The 19,323-nt window shown below is 40.4% G+C and overlaps 1 protein-coding gene across 1 annotated transcript in view, besides 1 other annotated feature; it reads right to left on the bottom strand.

Annotated features, from left to right (window-relative positions):
* GPC4 (glypican 4) overlaps positions 1 to 19,323 on the bottom strand; it is a 115,387-nt gene that overhangs the window by 43,245 nt on the left and 52,819 nt on the right. The gene's annotated exons all lie outside the window — the stretch shown is intronic.
* Positions 7,463 to 7,964: an enhancer, noted in NCBI's record as "NANOG hESC enhancer chrX:132484838-132485339 (GRCh37/hg19 assembly coordinates)". NCBI's record gives its function as "activates a minimal SCP1, AML or CMV promoter by ChIP-STARR-seq in primed H9 embryonic stem cells {active_cell/tissue: H9 hESC(primed)}" and the evidence as "EXISTENCE:reporter gene assay evidence [ECO:0000049][PMID:30033119]".

Below are 19,323 nucleotides of genomic sequence, written 5' to 3' on the forward strand. Positions count from 1 at the left end.
CTAGTCCATTAAGACTCTCCTGTCTGCTTTCCACTCTCTTTTCACTCTAACCATGTAGTTCTCTCTTATCCCACCCCACCTCTTAAGTGGTGCATAATATGAAACTGAAGGGTTTTTTTATTTGTTGTACTTGTTGAGAATTCCTTGTTCTTAATTTAAAAAGCAGGTGAATTCAATGCTTTATGGTTTTCCAAGGAAGCACCTAAATTAAGTTGCTTTTTGTACATGGCCCTTGATTAGTTTTTTTCTTTGTGGGTCAGTGGCCCTCAATAGAAAAAAGGTCCCCCAGCCCTGTCCTAGGAGGCTTGGATGGGATTCAATGAAGCGTGCTTTTAAAGCTTAACTCTCTGGCATTAAAAACAAAACAAAAAAAATCACTCGAAAGAGCCAAACTTTTTTCAATCACACCAGCTCTATGTAATTTCTCTTTAGTCTTAATATCAATGCCTTAGTTTTCAAAGCTGAACAAAGACAATCACAATAAATTACTCTCAATCCTGCTGAGTGTGTATTGGTTCTTTTTTTTTGAGGCACTTCAAATCAATGGTTAAAGAAGTAGGCATTGAATATGAGGAATCTATTCCATCATTTAACAGCGCTCTGAGGCAATCTGTGAAACTGTGCTTTCTCATTTTATCTCATTTACTCCTCTCACCAAAGGCTGCCTCTGATGTACAAATGGGGTGCGGCTAATGTTCGTTTATTTTCAGTTGCTCATAACTCAGCTTCCCATAGAAAATGTTATAAATGGTAGATAGGTGCTCAGGCCAGCCCTCAGCTTATTTACTACTAACTTGACTATTTTCTCTTTCTTTCTTTCTTTATTTTCTTTCTTTCTTTCTGGTTTTTTTTTTTTTTTTTTTTTTTTTTTTTTTTTTTTTTTTTTTTTTTTTTTTTGATGGAGTTTCGCTCCTGTTGCCCAGGCTGGAGTGCAATGGCGTGATCTCAGCTCACCGCAACCTCTGCCTCCCGGGTTCAAGCAATTCTCCTGCCTCAGCCTCTTGAGTAGCTAGGATTACAGGCATGCGCCACCACACCCGGCTAATTTTTTATTTTTAGTAGAGACGGGGTTTCTCCCTGTTGGTCAGGCTGGCCTCAAACTCCCAACCTCAGGTAATCTGCCCGCCTCAGCCTCCCAAAGTGCTGGGATTACAGGTGTGAGCCACCACGCCCGGTGACTATTTTCAACTATGTCTAACAACCATTTTCTATATCTCTCTCAGAAAATACATTTAGAAATCCAACTAGATGCCAAGAAAGTGTCTCTCCAATTCTCCCCACTTTTTTGGGAGGTGGGGCAGTAATAGAGGAATACCGGTAGTTACCACTTAGGGGTCAGCTTTCTTTCTGTACCTGCGGGAAATAAAGAAAATCTCTAGTGTTTACTCCCCCAGTGTCCTAAATGGAGAAAACAGAGCCAGAAAACATTGCAAGACACTGGTAGAGAACCCAGGCTTTGCCTGCACCAGTGGGATTTTTAAGGCAGACACTCTTGGTACTCGGACTAATTTTACCAATAAAGCAACCAAATGCCTATGGTAAATAAGAGAGACAAACTGTTCCTTAAGGGTAAGGACCGCAGTGAGGAACATTTGAGAAGAACAGACTGGAAAGCACTATGAAAACTGCAAACATAAGAGACTATGATTTTGCATTGGCCTTTCTAGAAGAGTGCCTCACTTGAGTTATGAAGAAAACTTAGCTCTTTACAAGGGGTTTTTTTAAGGAGTGAATTTAAAAGGTTCCAAATATTTAAAACTACTTGGTTCTTTTATTCTGCAGAGATAACAGCAGCAGTCTAGGGATAATTAAGTTTTATCTAGAAGTCAGGAATATGGGTTTGAAGCCCAGCTCTACATGATTGGGAAGCTTTTGGTAAAGACTCTTGGGAAAGTCAGTTATCCACTGGAACCTTAAAACGAAAAAAGCCCTTTGAAAACAAGGAGGCATTATGTAAATGTAAGACAGTACAATTGCAAAACAAAGAAAGAAATGAACATCTCTTATGCTCTGATAAGCTACTGAAGTTTCGTGTTAAGAACCATTTCTGACAACTTGTACTAGGTGAGGGAGGGGCGCCAGAAAAGCAGCACCTTGTTAAGTTCAGCCTAAAGCTGCCTCCTTACACATTTAAAGTTTGGTTTAAAGGTTTCCCCGTACACAGTGAACTGTAACCTAAACTGGGTGTGTAAACAGACTGTAACTTGCTCTTGCACCAATCACAGGTGGCCAACGGTTCAAACCATGTTCAAATAAGGAAATCACTGAGCTGTAACCAACTCAGCTGTTTCTGTACCTCACTTCCGTTTCCTGTACATCACTTTTCCTTTTCTGTCCATAAATCCTCTCCAACTACATGGCAGTACTGGAATCCCTCTGAACATATTCTGGTTGTGGGGAGGGGTGATCAATTTGCAAATCATTCTTTGCTCAGTTAAATTCTGTTAAAATTAATTTGTCTGTTACCAGTAGAGGGTCTTGACTGCAAGTTGTCCAGGTTCTTGGTGTTTTGAACAAATAATTGGACAAAATGCACAGCAAAGCAAGGAAAGAATGAAACAACAAAAGCAGAGATTTACAGAAAATTAAAGTACACTCCACAGGGTGGGAGCCAACCAAGCAGTGGCTCATGGGCCCCAGTTACAGAATCTTCTGGGGTCCAAATACCCCCTAGAGGTTTCTATTGGCCACTTGGTGTTTACCCCATGCAAATGAAGTAGTGGCCTGCAATCAGAGGCTAAAATGAAGTTACAAAGTTACACTCCTATGCAAATGTCTGATTGGGAAAGCAACCAATCAGAGGTACTTTCAATTTTCCTCCTGCCATGCAGAAAAAGGGGGAAGGCGGGGCGGGGCATGGTGTTGCAAAGGAAGTAGCCTCTGGTCCTTTTGTCACTTAAGCGTGGAAAGTTGGGGTTTTCCTTTCAATTTAGTTATAGGAAGTCAGCATGAATCAGCCTCAGGTTCCCTGCCTCCAGACCCTATTCTCCTGCCTCATGTCCAAAGTTTTTCTTTTAACAAACTTTTCTTTTCTAGCTAGTTCAGAAAGATGTGGAAATAGGGCACATCAAGGAGCTGAACGGCATGCATATGTGATGGTGAACTGATGGTGACCAAGCCATCAACCAAGGGATTCAAAGGGCCATCAAAAGCGAAGCCACAGGAGCTTAAGGAGACATGATGAGGAAATATAATGTGATATCCTGGATGGGATCCTGGAACAGAATAAGTACATTGTGGGGAAAAAAACTAAGGAAATCAAACAAAAAGGTGTATGCAAATGTTCATAGCAGCATTATTCATAATAGCCAAATTTCCATCAGCAAATGAATGGATAAACAAAATGTGGTCTACTGTATCTGTAAATAGAATATTACTCAGCCATTGGAAGGAAGGAAATTCGGATACATGTTACAACATGGATGAATCTCAAAAACACTGCTAAGTGAAAAAAATCCACATTTATATAAAATGTCCAGCATAAGCAAATCTAGAGATAGAATGTAGATTCTTGGTTGCCCAGGGCTGGGGGAGAGGGGAAAGAATGAAAGTGAGGATGCCAGCTAAAAGGTACGGGGTTTCTTTCGGGGGTGATGAAAAATTGATTTTGGTGATGGAGGTACAACCTTGTAGATATACTAAAAGTCACTGTACACTTCAAATAGGTGAATTATTTGTTATATTAACTATATCCCAATAAGACAGTTACCAAAAAACTCAGGAAATCAGAATTAAGTGTAGGCTTTAGTTCGTAATTATGCATCAATATTGGTTCATCAATCATGAGAAATATACCCACCCTAATGTAAGATGTTAATAACGGGATACTGGGGGTGAGATATAGGAAAGTCTATGTGCTATCTTCCCAACTTCTGTAAATCTAAAACTCTTCTATTAGAAGTTTTTTTTTTTTTTTTTTTTTTTTTTTTTTTTAAGAAAAGCAAGTCTTGGCTTTCAAATTAAAAAGCATAAATACATGTGGCCAGCGGGGAAAAACTTTCATCATGCTTTCAAAAATATAAATACTTGATGTAATTCTAATATTGGGGAGCTGTATTAAGCTATTATTTGCTGGAGCAATTTTCCTAATCCCTCAATTGCTACTTTACTCTTTTTCTAATTTTTATTGTTCTAAACGTAAAATAATTCCTTGCTGTTGGTCTAAAGCATTACCAAAATAGTTTCTGTTCATTTCTTAGATCTAAATTCATGTAGCCACAAAGTGAACTAAAATGCAGGTTGCTATATAACTCCAGCCCCTCTAAGCTACCTAAGACCCCATGAGGAACATACAATGCTCTGCTTCATGGGAACAAAGAAAGAAAATCTCTAAAGGTTTTTAATAACTCCAGGGAGGTGGGGGGACGTGTACATTAATCCATCCTCCCTCCTTCCAAAAAGGAGTGAAATTACTGCATAAAATGTGCTATGTGCATCCAAAGCCTGGAGTCATCTGACCTTAATAACAAAGCACGTAAATTACAGTCATTATGCAGATGTATGATTTGAGATCACCTACTAATCAGTAGGAGAAATGCAGCCAGTTAGCATTTTGCAAAACCTTGCCAAAATATAGCTCTGGAGGGCTTAAGACTGCCAATTATTTCTAGGTCCACTAATCCTGCAAGGTAGTATAGAGAAGGCCAGTCAGAAACACATACATTCAATAATCAGTTTTATTATATTTTTCTAAGAATAACTTTATGTAAGTGTAGTTGGAAGAGTTAGGGTTGCTACTTTAAAACTCTACACTTCATTTCAATGAGCTTATAATAGCTTTAAACTGCACTCCAGACAGAAATCAACCAAGGCTTCTTACTGCTTTTCAAATGATAAGCAAATTGTCAACCAAGGTTAATATCTGACAATCTTAGATCCCCATTTTAACTATACCAAAGGTTTATTAAGGCACACCAAACCAAACTGAGTGAATGGCCTGAAATGCACACTTTGACCTTGTGTTGCCATCACTTCTGAGCAGCTGAAGCAACTGCATCTATTTTGCACATTTACAACCACTACCTCCAGGACTCAAAAGGAATAGTAATACTACTAGTGATTAACCCAAAACTCTCCAAAAATTCTGAGGCTCCTGTAAATACTTTCTAAGCAGTGCTAATAAAAGGCTCACAGAAGTGTGCTGGGGGACCTTGCGGGATAGCAAGGAGCAGACAGGAAAAGATGGAGCTCTCTTACTTGTTTTGCAACTAACAAAGGAGATCTTTTCTGTCAATAATTCAGGTGCACATATCTTGGTAGCATCGTTTGAGAATTTCTCTTAAGTAGCAATTATGATTTTCACTAGGCTCATAATTTAACAGAAGGCCTAGGGATAAATAAATGATTCCAAATGCCTCTACGGATTTCATACTCATTCAAGTGATATGAAGGAGTCACATGTGAGTTTCAAGCTCTTTAAGAGAAAAACAAATACACAGACTTTGAAGGTGTTTGTTACATAGTGCCTATGAAATTAAGATTTCCACAACTCTCCTCAAAGTCCTTCTTGTTTTATTGGTGAATTTTTCTCATACTCCCACTCCCCTAACTCTGAGGTTTTCTTTTTACAGAGAGTGAGATGAGAGACTGTATGGAGACTGAGATTCCCAGGGTTGATCACGTCTGTTAGAGCCCCAGTGATACATTCAGCTATGAATAAAAAGCAGCCTAGACAGAAAACGCCATTGGTGAGGACTTTTTTTCCCTCTGGAACCTGTATCCCCAAGCCACACATCATAATAGCTGGTAGACCAAGGCCTTAGCAGGGCCATCTCTGAGACAGCTGATCAGACCTGGCTTGGAAGGTCATGGTGATTCTCAGAGTAGGGGAGGGCTAGCCGCCAGCACTTTGCCCTTTCTTTGCATCTCCAGTGACTGCCCCAGTGGGCAGTCTCCTGCACACCATCACAGAAGACCTCGGAGAAAGCAAAAGGAAGAAGGTATCCTCAGGAAGACATCAGACACACCCCTTTCCTCCTCCCCTAGGGGCTGAATCAACACTGACTTCCAACAGCAGATGATTTTCCATATTATTTCCAAATAATCTCTAAAGAAGATCCTGGGAATCTCATTCTCAGATAGCCTGCCACAGCCATTTAGAATTCACAGGAATATCCGAAATGGTTAACAGCTGAATTTGCTGCAAGTGTAGAAGAAAATACAGTTGGTGAGTGGGGAGGCTCACAGATATCAGACATTTCAGACACCTGCTCTAATTGAATGATTAAAGTCTGCCTTCTTACGTACATTTCATGGATTGTGTGAGTCATAACAATTTGTTGTTGTTGTTGAGACACAGGGTCTCGCTTTGTCACCCAGGATGGAGCGCAGTGGCGTGAACATAGCTCACTGCAGTCTCGACCTCCTGGGCTCAAGTGATCTTCCCACCTCAGCCTCTCGAGTAGCTGGGACTACAGGGATGTGATACCACACCCGGTTAATTTTTGTATTTTTTGTAGAGATGGGGTTTCACTACATTGCCCAGGCTGGTCTCGAACTCCTGGCTCATGCAATCCTCCCCCTCAGCCTCCCAAAGTGCTGAGATTACAGGCATGAGCCACTGCACTCGGCTGAGTCATGACAATTTTTAACATCAAATTATTTTCTCTTTTTTAGTAATTGCTTTCAGCTTAAACAAAAGGGAAGGTAAAAGCTGTCTTTAGCTTCTCTTAACCCTCCTTTTCACAATATACCCAAAATTTCTCCCCTCAAAATACAGCGTGGTAAGAGGTTTTCAGTAAATTTACTGTCTAGAAAAAATATACCAGAAGAATAACATATTCATTCATCATTAATTCTCCAAAAGATATTTCTCCAAATGGCTATCTAGAAAGCCTTTATGTAAACCCACCAATGGCAAAGTCCACTTCCTCACATAAAGAAAAATGATTCTGGGATGGGCACAGTGGCTCATGCCTGTAATCCTAGCACTTTGGGAGGTCAAAGTGGGAGGATCGCTTCAGCCCATGAATTCAAGATCAGCGTGGGCAACATAGTGAGACCGTGTCTCTACAAAAAATTTAAAAATTAGCCAGGCATGGTGGCGCACACCTGTAGTCCCAGCTAGTCAGGCAGGCTGAGGTGGGAGAATCGCCTGAGCCCAGGAGGCTGAGGCTGTAGTGAGCCATGATCATGCCACTGCACTCAAGCCTTGGAGTGGGGTGGGGGGGAATGTTTCATTCTGCAAACAAAACAAAACAAACAAACAACAACAACAAAAAACAAAAAACAGTGATCCATGCAAACCATTCCTCAAAATTCTAGCTAGGCATCAATAAAATGGTGCAGAGGAAAGTAAGATTTACATTTTTAATGTCTGTGCTTAATTACATCCTTTAAAACCCACTTCACAAAATTCTTGCTAAAAGTCATAGTTAAGTTACGGCTTACTCTGATACAGATCTGCACTGAAGGACTGTTAATAAGTCCCAGTTCCTATGGATATGGACATGAGCCACAGTTGACCAGGGGTTAATTTTATAACATGAGAGAAAAATTCTTCTGAACCTTGGAATGGGCAGATGAGGGAGAGGCAGAGCCCTCCTCATACTCCCCATCGTTTTGCAAGGCTGAGTTTCCCCAACCCTGGCAACTGGCCATGAAGTCTTCAAGCAGCATGTTATGCAATATGAAGCATGCCATTTTCAGTAAAAGCAAAACAAAAACAAAAACTCCTCCTCACCCATTATCTAAAGCCCTAGCACCTGGGCCACATGCCCTACAATTTATTACCATTTAATAGGCTCTTTGTTATTTAGAAAAGTTTTGTTGACAAATGTAAAGATTTCAATGTGTACTTCCTCTTCCAGGTCAGTTCCTGGAGCTTTAAGTAAAACTTGTCTCAGTCCTAATTTTGGAGTGAAAGCCACTATGTTGCTATTCAGAGAATTACCTGTGTTTATCCCTTACCCTTTGTTTCCTGCCTCAAAGTCAATCATAATATTTGACGAAACAGTCCCACAATTCCATGGTGTGCCAGTTACTTTGAGTTTCCTTGGCTTGGTGTGAACCCCCCCATCAACTGCCCCCCGCCACCAAGAAAGCTTTTTGAAAACCTAAATAGATCACGTGCAATGGTTTTCCATTCTCTACATATGCATTAGCCACCTGAGAAACACAAGGTCACTAGCAAAGCACAGATTCCCCTTATTTAACGAAGTTGCCTTTCCTGGAAGACTGAGTTTGCTTAAGTTTTCAATGTCCTCAGCCTTTATTATAGACTCTACCAGCTTGCCTTTATTAGTGAGGCACCCCAGGTCTGACTGGGACTTATCCTAGTGGCTTCTTAACACCATTTGATTCTCCAATCTCACCTTTCAGAACCTTTCCTTTAGAATCAGACCTGTTAATTAACTACATTTGATTTATTCATTATGATTAGAAAATCCACTATATTTACCACTTCGTGAACTAGTTACTTCAACTAGACCACTGCAAGAGATTATCTGGGAATGGAACTCTGCCCTAACATTTTCCCCAAGTCTAAGTCAAAGATTTGATTCACTTCTCCCAAACTAACCTTTGACCCGATTTGGCAACACAAAAACATTGTTGGTGCTTAATGCAGTATTTATCAAGTGACTCTTATGTGCCAGATGCCATCCATCAGTGCAGAAAATACAAATGGCTTGGTCTCCGCCCTCTTGAAAATTACAAGATGAACAGACATGGATTTTATTGTTGTTCTCTAGGCTTTTTCTCTCTCCTTCTTACTCTATAATGTGAATTCCTCCAACCCCCTCCCCACCACAAGATCTCTGAGGTCCTCTAATCTTATCTTGGAACAACTCAAGTCCAAAAGACAGGAGAGATGATGCTAAATCAGGCAAATCAACTCAACCCATGTTTCTTCTCACTTTGGAACTTCAACAGATGTGCCATAGGAGGTGCCTTTGGACAAAGTAGGAGAGAGTCACACACTCAGATATAACCTATACATTGCCATATATACTATGTCCATTTTTGAGACAACCAAAACTACTGAAGGCATTATCTCGGACTCAGAGCAAAATCTGACAAGGCAAGGGTGAATAAAACTCCTTGGGGACCTAGTTCTGCTGCCTTTCTTGGTCAACAAAGCAAAATCGGCAGAACAAAGACTTCCCACACACATGCTGTTTCATTTCCTTGGTTTGACAAATCAGAAGTCACTAAACATTCAAATCTCCTTTTAAGAAAAAAAAAAAAAACTCAGACAATGTTAGTGCTTTGATTTTTAAAGGCCCTAACCTGGTCACTTGATAACAAGCTTCCCTAAACTTATATTTGGATAGTCAATAAATTATTGGCATAGCTCCGTTCAATTTTTGTAGTAGAGGTCTCACCAGAGGAGAGCTTCTATGCCCTCAAGTGACTGATATATACTCAACAACGAACAATTTGAGATACCACCCAGTGCCTCTCCACACACTAGGAATAATCCCTGTTTTTTTCTAGGCTCTAAAAAACCCTGATAAAAAGGTGCCTGAACTCAAAGGCAAGGTATTGATTAGCCAATTCTTCAACTGGGCTGCCATCCAGCCACCCGCCATTTTCCTCTGGTTTCTTAAGTACCACAGGGAAGGAAAAATAAAGCCAGATCTTAGGTGCTATATTAAAGTATTAATGTGTCTACTTATGACATAAAAAAATTTACTTCCTTAGAGAAGAAGATGGAAAAGTTATTGCCTCTTTGTCAGCAAGTGACACAGAAAAGAGAGAAACCAGTCATTTACTACACATTCAAGTAAGGCCTGTTCAATTCCTAGTCATCTTCAGATAACCCTAACCATACCAGGGCCCTCTTAGGCACCACTGGGCCAAAGAGATAGATACAAATGCTCCAGAAAGTGCGCTGCAAGTGTCCTGGACTTCTTTACTGCAGAACTAACCAAGAATGAAACGGCTGCATCTTACCATTTTTGCTTTGGGTATGAATGAAAGGATAGGAGCCACTCTAATTTGAGCCTGTAAGAACTTAGGGTTGCTTCCATGGGGCTGATATTGGAGTTACTATACAATGTAATGCCTGTCACAGGACCTAAGAGAAACATCAGCACTTCAGAAATCTGGCCCACAGACAAGCTTGAGACCGGATGCTCACAAATTGAAAGTATCAGACAGCTTTCTCTGACCTGGTGCAACTGGGTGAGTGGGTGCTCATTCCGTTACTTCAATGTCTAGCTTGCCCTCTCTAACTCTTTTTGGTAATGGGCCAACTGCTCACTCATAAACCAATTGATTTGGTCAAACACTTGATCCCAAAGAAGTTCCAATTACTCCTCTACTCCTAGAATGTGGCCTGTCAGCTACTTTAGGATGAGCAACAAACATGGGGGATGGGGAAGTTCTTTCTCTCTTACTCCTGCACATTAGAGGCCTGAAGGAGTGAGAGAAAAAGAAATGGAAGGAAATGGGTCAAAGGAGAAAGGGAGAAAAAAAAGACAGTATATATGACCAAGGGCCCAGGAGTGGGAGAGTCACCTACAACTGATGCAAGTGGTGATCAGGCACCAGGGTCTTTCGTTCTGTGGTAACTCCCATCAAGCACAGGGACACGTTTTTCTCCCTAGTTTCCATTACACAGAGCCTGCAGATGGCACGCAGCATTACTACTGCAATTATTGACTATAATTATCATGAAAAGTCTTTGATGTGATAGCAAAAATTATTAAAATAGCCTTTCTTAGAAAAGAAGGGCAATAAATACAACCTCATTTGGAAAATTCAAGGACCTAATTTTGTACCAGGACCTTCTGCCAGCAAAGAGTAAGTTACTTTAATATACTTATTTTTAGCCCCTCTCCTTGAGGATGTTTCATCCTATGTGGAAAACACATAATGGTATGCAGTTCGGGATATACTTTAAGAGTACACTTAAAGGTACTTCAAAGGAAAATAAAAAAATAAACCTTCTCCTTTCAGATACACGCATATTTACATAAGCTCCTAGTTTTTCCTGATCCCACAGTAACCAATGAGAGGCAACTGTTTTTTAAACTGCCTTCAAGGATGAGAACAAATATGACAACTGAATTAAATGTCGGTCTTGTTTTAAAGATAATACTTGGCAGCAGTGCTGTGCTTATCGGTTTGAAATAGTAAACACTGTAGTGTACTTTAAAAAGTATCAGTACCAGAAGTATGAAAGAACAGAGAACAGCCCACTTTGTTCTCTTTATCTTTCACTGGATCATAAACCATGCAAGGTCATGTTTTATTTATTTATTTATTTATTTATTTATTTTTTTTTTTGAGACGGAGTCTCGCTCTGTCGCCCAGGCCAGACTGCGGACTGCAGTGGCGCAATCTCGGCTCACTGCAAGCTCCGCTTCCCGGGTTCACGCCATTCTCCTGCCTCAGCCTCCCGAGTAGCTGGGACTACAGGCGCCCGCCACCGCGCCCGGCTAATTTTTTGTATTTTTAGTAGAGACGGGGTTTCACCTTGTTAGCCAGGATGGTCTCGATCTCCTGACCTCATGATCCACCCGCCTCAGCCTCCCAAAGTGCTGGGATTACAGGCGTGAGCCACCGCGCCCGGCCATGTTTTATTTTTTTAATCTAGCTACTCTTATGTTTTAACTCTGAGTCAAGACAGCATAATCCTAAATTGTATGCAATGCTACAGCAGCACATACATTAAATCATATTCTGAAATCAGTTTCAATGTGGGGAAGAACGGCCTTTCAAAGGCTGAAGCCAAATTAAATGTCCAGCATTATAAGACCTGATTTTTCCAAATGAACTGCCTAAATAAGAATGAGTTCTACCAGGCTATCCAGAAAGCATGCTTATGTTTTTGCCCATGAGTGTTTCTATTAATATTTTTTATATATGACAATTAACATAGGCCAGTACAAAGACCAACTAACCTAACCCAAATTTACTTGACTAGAGTTAAGTTCAGTCATGCAGAATGACTATACTAGAACTGCATGAGCTTGAAAAAGAACAATAGTTCAATCTCGAGTTTCATAAATATACATAGGAAAAGGTGCTCAGTAGCACCAAGTCTGAGCTTCCATTTGGCCGAATGACTTGGTGGTATGGGCAAGTAGAAAATATACTCTTATAAAAAAGCATTGTTTCGTTATTATGAGATGAACCTTCATAGCTCCATGATTTGTGGCTACAAACATAACACACTATTACAAAATGAGCCTATATTAAGAAATAGTCATGATGCATTTTGCTTATTGGTTTAAAACTCTTCTAACAGCACTGACACACTTGGTAGCCTTGGGACCGCATACAGAACCCAAACTTCTTTTTATTCCACCAGTAAGTAGCAGTAAGCAGCAACTTAGAACAAGAAGGGTCAATGAAAATGTTTTGGATGTGTGCACCATCCAAATTGCATGTTGAAAAGTGACTCCCAGTGTTGGAGATGGGTCCTAGTGGGAGGTGACTGGGTTGTGTGGGTGGATCCCTCATGAATGGCTTAGCACCATCCCCCGGGAGAAAAGTGAGTTCTTGCTCTGAGTTCCCATGAGACCTGGTTGGTTAAGAGAGTATGGCACCTCCCCACTCTTTCTCTCTTAATCCCGCTATCACCATGTGACATGCTGTCTCCTACTTTCCCTTCCACCATGATTGAAAGCTCCCTGAGGCCTCATCAGAAGCAGATGCTGGAGCCATGCTTGTACAAACTGCAGAACCATGAGCCAATTAAACCTCTTTTCTTTATAACTTACCCAGCCTCCAGTATGTCTTTATAGTGATGCAAAAATGGCGTAACAGTCAGGCACTTCAAGAACCAAGAATTTTAGGTTATTCTGTGCGATGGCATAGATATGGTTTGTATGGCCCCTTCAAGTTTCATGTTGAAATCTAATCCCCAGTGTTGGAGGTGGGGCCTGGCAGGAGATGTTTGGATTGTGGAGGGCAGATACTTAGTGAATGGCCTGGATCTCGCAGCAGCGAATTCTTTTTTTATTAGAGATGAAGTCTTGCTCTGTCGCCCAGACTGGAGTGCAGTGGCGCAATCTCAGCTCACTGCAACCTCCACCTCCTGGGTTCAAGTGATTCTCCTGCCCCAGCCTCCCAAGTAGCTGGGATTACAGACACCTGCCACTACACCCGACTAATTTTTGTATTTTTAGTAGAGACAGGGTTTCACCATGTTGGCCAGGCTGGTTTCAAACTCCTGACCTCAGGTGATCTACTCACCTCAGCCTCCCAAAGTGCTGGAATTACAGGTGTGAGCCACCACACCTGGCAGTGAATTCTTACTTAGTTCCTAAGAGAGAACTGTTGGCAAAGAGCTTGGCACCTCCTCTCTCACCATGTGATGCCTGCTCCCCTTCCCCTTCCACCATGAGTGAACGCTTCCTGAGGCCCTCACCAGAAGCAGATACTGACAATATGCTTCTTGTACAGCCTGCAGAACCATGAGCCAAATAAATCTCTTTTCTTTATAAATTACCCAGCCTCAGGTATTCCTTCATAGCAACACAAATGGACTAAGACACTCCACATCACCAAGGATCCTCAATCAGAACAGTTCAGTAAAAAACAAATGGATAAATCACAACAAGTGGGAAACTCAAGAGAACAGAAAAGCTTGTCTGGAGCATGATTTACTATCTAACTACATACTGTATAGTATGTATGTCAGAACAGTGTGGGAAATTAGCTATAAATGTTTTGACTGGACTCTCTGTTCTGAGTCTCTGAGGTAGGGAGGCATCATGTTATATGGAAAGCATAACAGCTTCAAAGGTAAATAAGCCCAAGTTCAGGCTAAGTTCTTTCTTAATTAAAAAAATAATTTTTAGGGCCAGGTGCAGTGGGTCATGCCTGTAATCCCAGCACTTTGGGAGGCCGAGGCAGGTGGATTACTTGAGGCCAGGAGTTCGAGACCAGTCTGGGCAACATGGCAAAACCCTGTCTCTACTAAAAGTACAAAAACTAGCCAGGCACAGTGGTGCATGCCTGTAGTTCCAGCTACTCGGGAGGCTGAGGCAGAAGAATTGCCTGAGCCTGGGAGGTGGAGGGTGCAGTGAACCAAGATAGCACCACTGCACTCCAGCCTGGGTGACAGAGGAAGACTCTCTCAAAAAAAAAAAAAAAATTTTTTTTTTTAGAGATGGCGTCTCTGTCACCCACGCTGGAGTGCAGTGGCATCATCATAGCTCACTGTACCCTCAAACTCCTGTGTTCAAATGATCCTCCCACCTCAGCCTCCTGAACAGTTAGGACTACAGGTATGCACCATCACATCTGGTATTTTTTTCGTTTTTTAAGAGACAGGGTCTCACTGTGTTGCTCGGGCTAGTCTGAAACTCCTGACCTCAAGCACGAGCCACCTCATGGTGGCTGGGATGATAGGCCCACGTCACCATGCCCAGCTTAGGCTCAGTTCTGTTGCTTACCAACTGTGCAATTTTGAGCCACCCTCCTAACTTCTCTGAGACTAGTTCATCTTCTGTAAAAGGAGGACAAGAGCAGAACCTACCTCAGAGAGTTGTTAGAAGCATTAAAATTATACAGTATACCTCAATCAATAGCAGCTATTATTATGAACACTGATATCAGAAGATGCTATATATTTCTCAGAAAGGGGATTCTTTCTATGTTTCAGAGTTCAGCTATGTTTAACCAATGGGGGAGTGTTTGTTTTCTTGTTGTTTCTATTGTTATCATTACTATTATTTTTAGTCTTTGGAAATATTTATTTCTAAAAATTACAGACCAAATGGAAATTTAGCTTTATTTAGCAGAAAGACAAAACAGTCCCTTGATAAAAATTCAGGCTACAACCTGCAATACTGCTCTAGGATTATGAGCTACAGAATCTTTTCTTTAGCTTTTGAAATGGTTCTGTTATGAGCTTTGAGAGATTAAAGAAAAACAAAATATTAAAGGTTGATTCTTATGAGAGTGCCATTATTTTAGGCCAAATAGGTCAAATATCAGCAATTTCACATAGTCTGACTGAATATTTTGGGGAATCAACTTAGCAACAATATCCAAAGGTTTCTACAGATAAATATGATTCATTTGCATCCTAGAATATCTAACTCATGAATAAAATTCAAAAGATTAAGACAAGACACTATTTGCTTGAGTAGATATGCATCTGACTTTACAAAAATATTGTGTGCCCAGAATATGCACTGTGTCTGCTGCACTATCCTGACAAATGATCAATTTCTTCCTAATAGCCAATCATTTTGTTGAAAGAACTCTCCGCTCTATGAAATAAAGGCAGATGCTTTGGAAATTTAGACTGTCTAAGGATAAATGTATGTCAAATAAAAACAAACAAACAAAAATTCCACCCGGAGATGAAGGGAGTTGGCTCCCTATCACATCAAAGGAAGGGAGAACAAAGATGGAAATGACAGCTCTCTGTACCATTGTGATGCATTTAAGTGCTGATTTTTTTTATGTTGCTGATGACAGTATATCGACCTTAGAGCGTCTGTCAGTTTATCACCGGATCACCTCCCTTATACTCTCTTTATGTCTTAAATATTTCTGTCAAATAGGTCTTCCTCTACTCAGCTTTAGATTGGTACCATAGATTTCCCTCCATTATCCTCTTACATTTGTGTGTGAAGATTCACAGACATGAATGAAAAAAAAAATCATCAGCATAATACTTACCTGCCAAGATCTACAGCCAAGATCTGGAGACACGAAAAATGATTACTTCCTGAACAAGTGCTTCTAGAACAGGAGTATGAGGGATGGAGGGGGGAAGGGAAGAAAGGTCCCAAGAGATACCTGGCCTTGGTCTTGAGTAGTACATAGGACTTAGGACACCAAGTAAGTGTGGATAAACAAATGTGTACTGGTGACCACACAGCAATATTAAATTTAACAACTTGATGGGAGAGGAAAAGTACAAACCCCATTACATAGTTTTTGCTATATTAGAGTAAGAATCTGTGACAAAAGCAGGGCATTACTGAGGGAGTTCGGAAAGTAAACAACCCTCAAGATGCCTGGAGACTGGTTTAAAAAGGGGAAAGAAAAAAACTTACTTATAGTCGCCCCAGAATAATTACTTATATTGGCGGGGGAGGTGGTGGGGACTGGAGAGAGAAGAGAACCTTCCTTGTGGTTAAAAGGCAGAAGAAAAAGCAGTGGTGATTAAAGAAAAAAAAATAGTCCAGAGAAGGAATAGAGAAAATCCTGTAAGGCACAGCAGGTTAAACACAAAATAAAATCTAGGCAGGAGCAACTTGCAAGAGATTGCAAAGGCTATAGTAAGAGGCTCTTTTGCTCTATCAAAGGGAGGAAGCCAGTTAGAGGAACCACTTAATCACAGTCACAGGGCTAAAATGGAGATGGTGGAGAGACTGAATGAATTCTTTGTCTTGTAAGGAGATGCGCATTTCCAAACCAGAACACTGAACTCGGCAGGTCAGAGGTACTAGATCAAATAGTGGTAAACATGATGCCCTGCATCTAATCAACAAACCAGGAGTAGATAAATCACTGGGACCAGATGGTATCCACCAGCCAGTTTTGAAGTAACTCAAGGGTGAAACTGTTTTGGCCAACATGTGTAGGCTGTCTTTACAAACAGCCACTGTGCCCGAGACTGGTGCTTGTCAATGTAATTCCTATTCATAAGCGGGGTTCTAGAAGGGACCCTGGGAAGTAGAAACCAGTAAATCTAATTTCCATAATCAAGCAGGCTGGCCAACTTTACGGGAAAGGTGAAATCACTACACATTTATGAAAATAAGGCCTATGCTGGGGGGGGAGAGAAAACCCAAATATTTTGGCAAAGGAGAAAAATCTAATAAACCAGGACTCTTGGGGTGGGTGGTGCAAGTAGAATATATGAATAAAGGGGACCCTGAGGATATGATTTATACAAAGCGTGCTAAAAACACAACAGAAAGTATTATCACGTTATCTACATTACTGTGCATTGTCATTGAATCTTAAAGGACACACACAAATGAGATAAGGAAAATTCAGATGTTAGATAAAAAGGTCAGGGCAATTATTTGCTTTATAAGAGGTTATGAAGACAAATGAAAATAGATTAAGGTTCAGTGTGCAAAGACAGGAATATTATTTCTTTTAATCAAACATATGGAGAGGCTTTAAAATGGTTGTCTCTTTTATCACCTATTGATATACTAAATTTATTCAATAAACAACCCTAGAAGTATAGCAATGGCTTGCTTATACATTACTTCAAATTGTGGGATGACCCACTAAGCAAGGGAAGCCTTGGGTTTGCCGAAAAAAAAAAAGAAGAAGAAGAAGAAGAAATATTCAAAGTCTGTGAAATTTACTGTAGGAGACTGAAGCCACCCTCTGGAACATAGCCTTTATTTTGTACACAAATACTCCAGTTGCACATTTAACCAACTCTACTGTCTGATTTCTAGACATTCAGTTCTGCACTGGGTTAAAAAGGGTCAAAGAGTGAACCCAAATCAATGACAGCAGAAGTGACAGCTGAAAAGGAAGGCAGAAGCAACTGCAGCAGAACAGTCTGGGGCCATTTAGCTTAGGGGCAAATAGTTCCTCATACTTCAAAGAGCCCTAAGGACATTGCTGCATTAGAGCATCATTTATTAAATGATTCTCATAATGGTGACCCTGAGTGTTTTTTAACTGATTACGGTTTTTATCCTTCTGTTTAATAAGTTAGGAGAATAAATACTTTAGAAATATTTTCATTGAAATATTTAAAACATGTTTAAAAGACAGTTTGATAGGTAAGGGAAAAATCTCTTACTCATAACATTTTCTTTTCATATGAAGTAAGATAACTAAGACATTATTTTAAAGCTATAAGCAAAAGGTCAACAGTTGGTATAGGCTGCAACTTAACAGCTTCACAAAAGTTCTAGATGTTAGAGAAAACAGACCTAAGAGGTGATTTATTAAGGAAAACTGGTTTGTTTGATATACATTTATAACCTTTGAAATATTCCAAAAAAGAACATTCATTTTTCTTCTACCTGAGTGTGATGTCCTTGCTGGTGATACGCTACCAGAAAACTGACCCATGCAGCAAGGCTGTTACTTTCAAAGGGCATCAAATAGCTGGTTCATATTACTAAAAATATCAATCCCAGAAGATATAGAAGAAAAGAGCTAAGTAAACATGAAAATAGGGTTTATATCTTAGAATGGGCTTATTTATTTCTTGAAACACAGTTTGCCATTTGGGAAGAGAGATTCTGCTAAATACACTTCACACCATTCTTGAGTTCTCTCAAGACAACTTGGACTCAATGGAGGAAATAGATCCAAAACACTCAAGAAAAAAAAAAAAACAAGATGATTAAGTAGCGCCAACTCTCAAACCACATGCCTTAGAACAAGCTGCTGCATACACCAGAAAAGCACCATTGCTGGTCTTTGCCATTAAATGTGTAAAGTGCTCCAGGGAAATGAAATGATACAAAACCTGGGTAACCCTGAAGGCTGAAATAATAAATTTTCTAGAACACAAAACTGCATAAATTGTATCGTTCATTTTCCTGTAAATTAGAGTGCCCGAAAGCAAAAGTTGCTCTTCTCTCAAAAAGAGAAAGAATGAGGAGGCAGGATTCTGAGTAAGAAAAAAACTCCAAAACAAATTAAATACAATAATAGAAGCAAAGAGCTTGAAAAATATAGACAAGGCCCAATGCAATGGCTCATACCTGTAATCCCAGCACTTTGGGGAGTCTGAGGCGGGAGGATTGCTTGAGCTCAAGAGTTCAAGACCAGCCTGGGCAACAGATTGAGACCTCGTCTCTATATAAAACTTAAAAATTAGCTGGGCATGGTGGGGTGCGCCTGTGGTCTCAGTTACATAGGAGACTGAGGCAGGAGGATCACTTGAGCCCAGGAGGTCGAGGCTTCAGTGAGCTGTAATTGAGCCACTGCACTCCAGCCTGGGTGACAGAGTAAGACTCTGTCTCAAAAAAAAAAAGAAAGGAAGGAAAGGGGAGGAGAGGAGAGGAAGGAAAAATACAGACAGAGAAGGGAACAGAAGAGGCAAGGAAAAACAGTGGGTCACTCATTTTTGTTCTAAAAATGTCAATGTACCAAATGTCACATGCCATATCTGTGCCCTACATGTAACATAAACATAATACAAATGTTCTACATTTGAAAGAACAAGTTAAGAATGGTTTTACAATTTTAAATGGCATTGATTTTGAGATTGAACTTTGATATAAACCCAGCACTGCTCCCAGTTTATAAGGCATTTTATAAATGGACATGTGTGTGGTCATAGATGGCACTTAGCACTGATATTTGGGGATCATTTCTTTAGAACAATGCCTTCTTAACATTTCCTACTTCTTAGCAGAATCAGACACTAACAGCACCAGAGTAATGCCCTGGTAAAGGGATGAAAAGCTTACAATATTG

The sequence above is a fragment of the Homo sapiens genome, chromosome X, assembly GCF_000001405.40.
Source record: "Homo sapiens chromosome X, GRCh38.p14 Primary Assembly".
Classification (NCBI taxonomy): domain Eukaryota; kingdom Metazoa; phylum Chordata; class Mammalia; order Primates; family Hominidae; genus Homo; species Homo sapiens.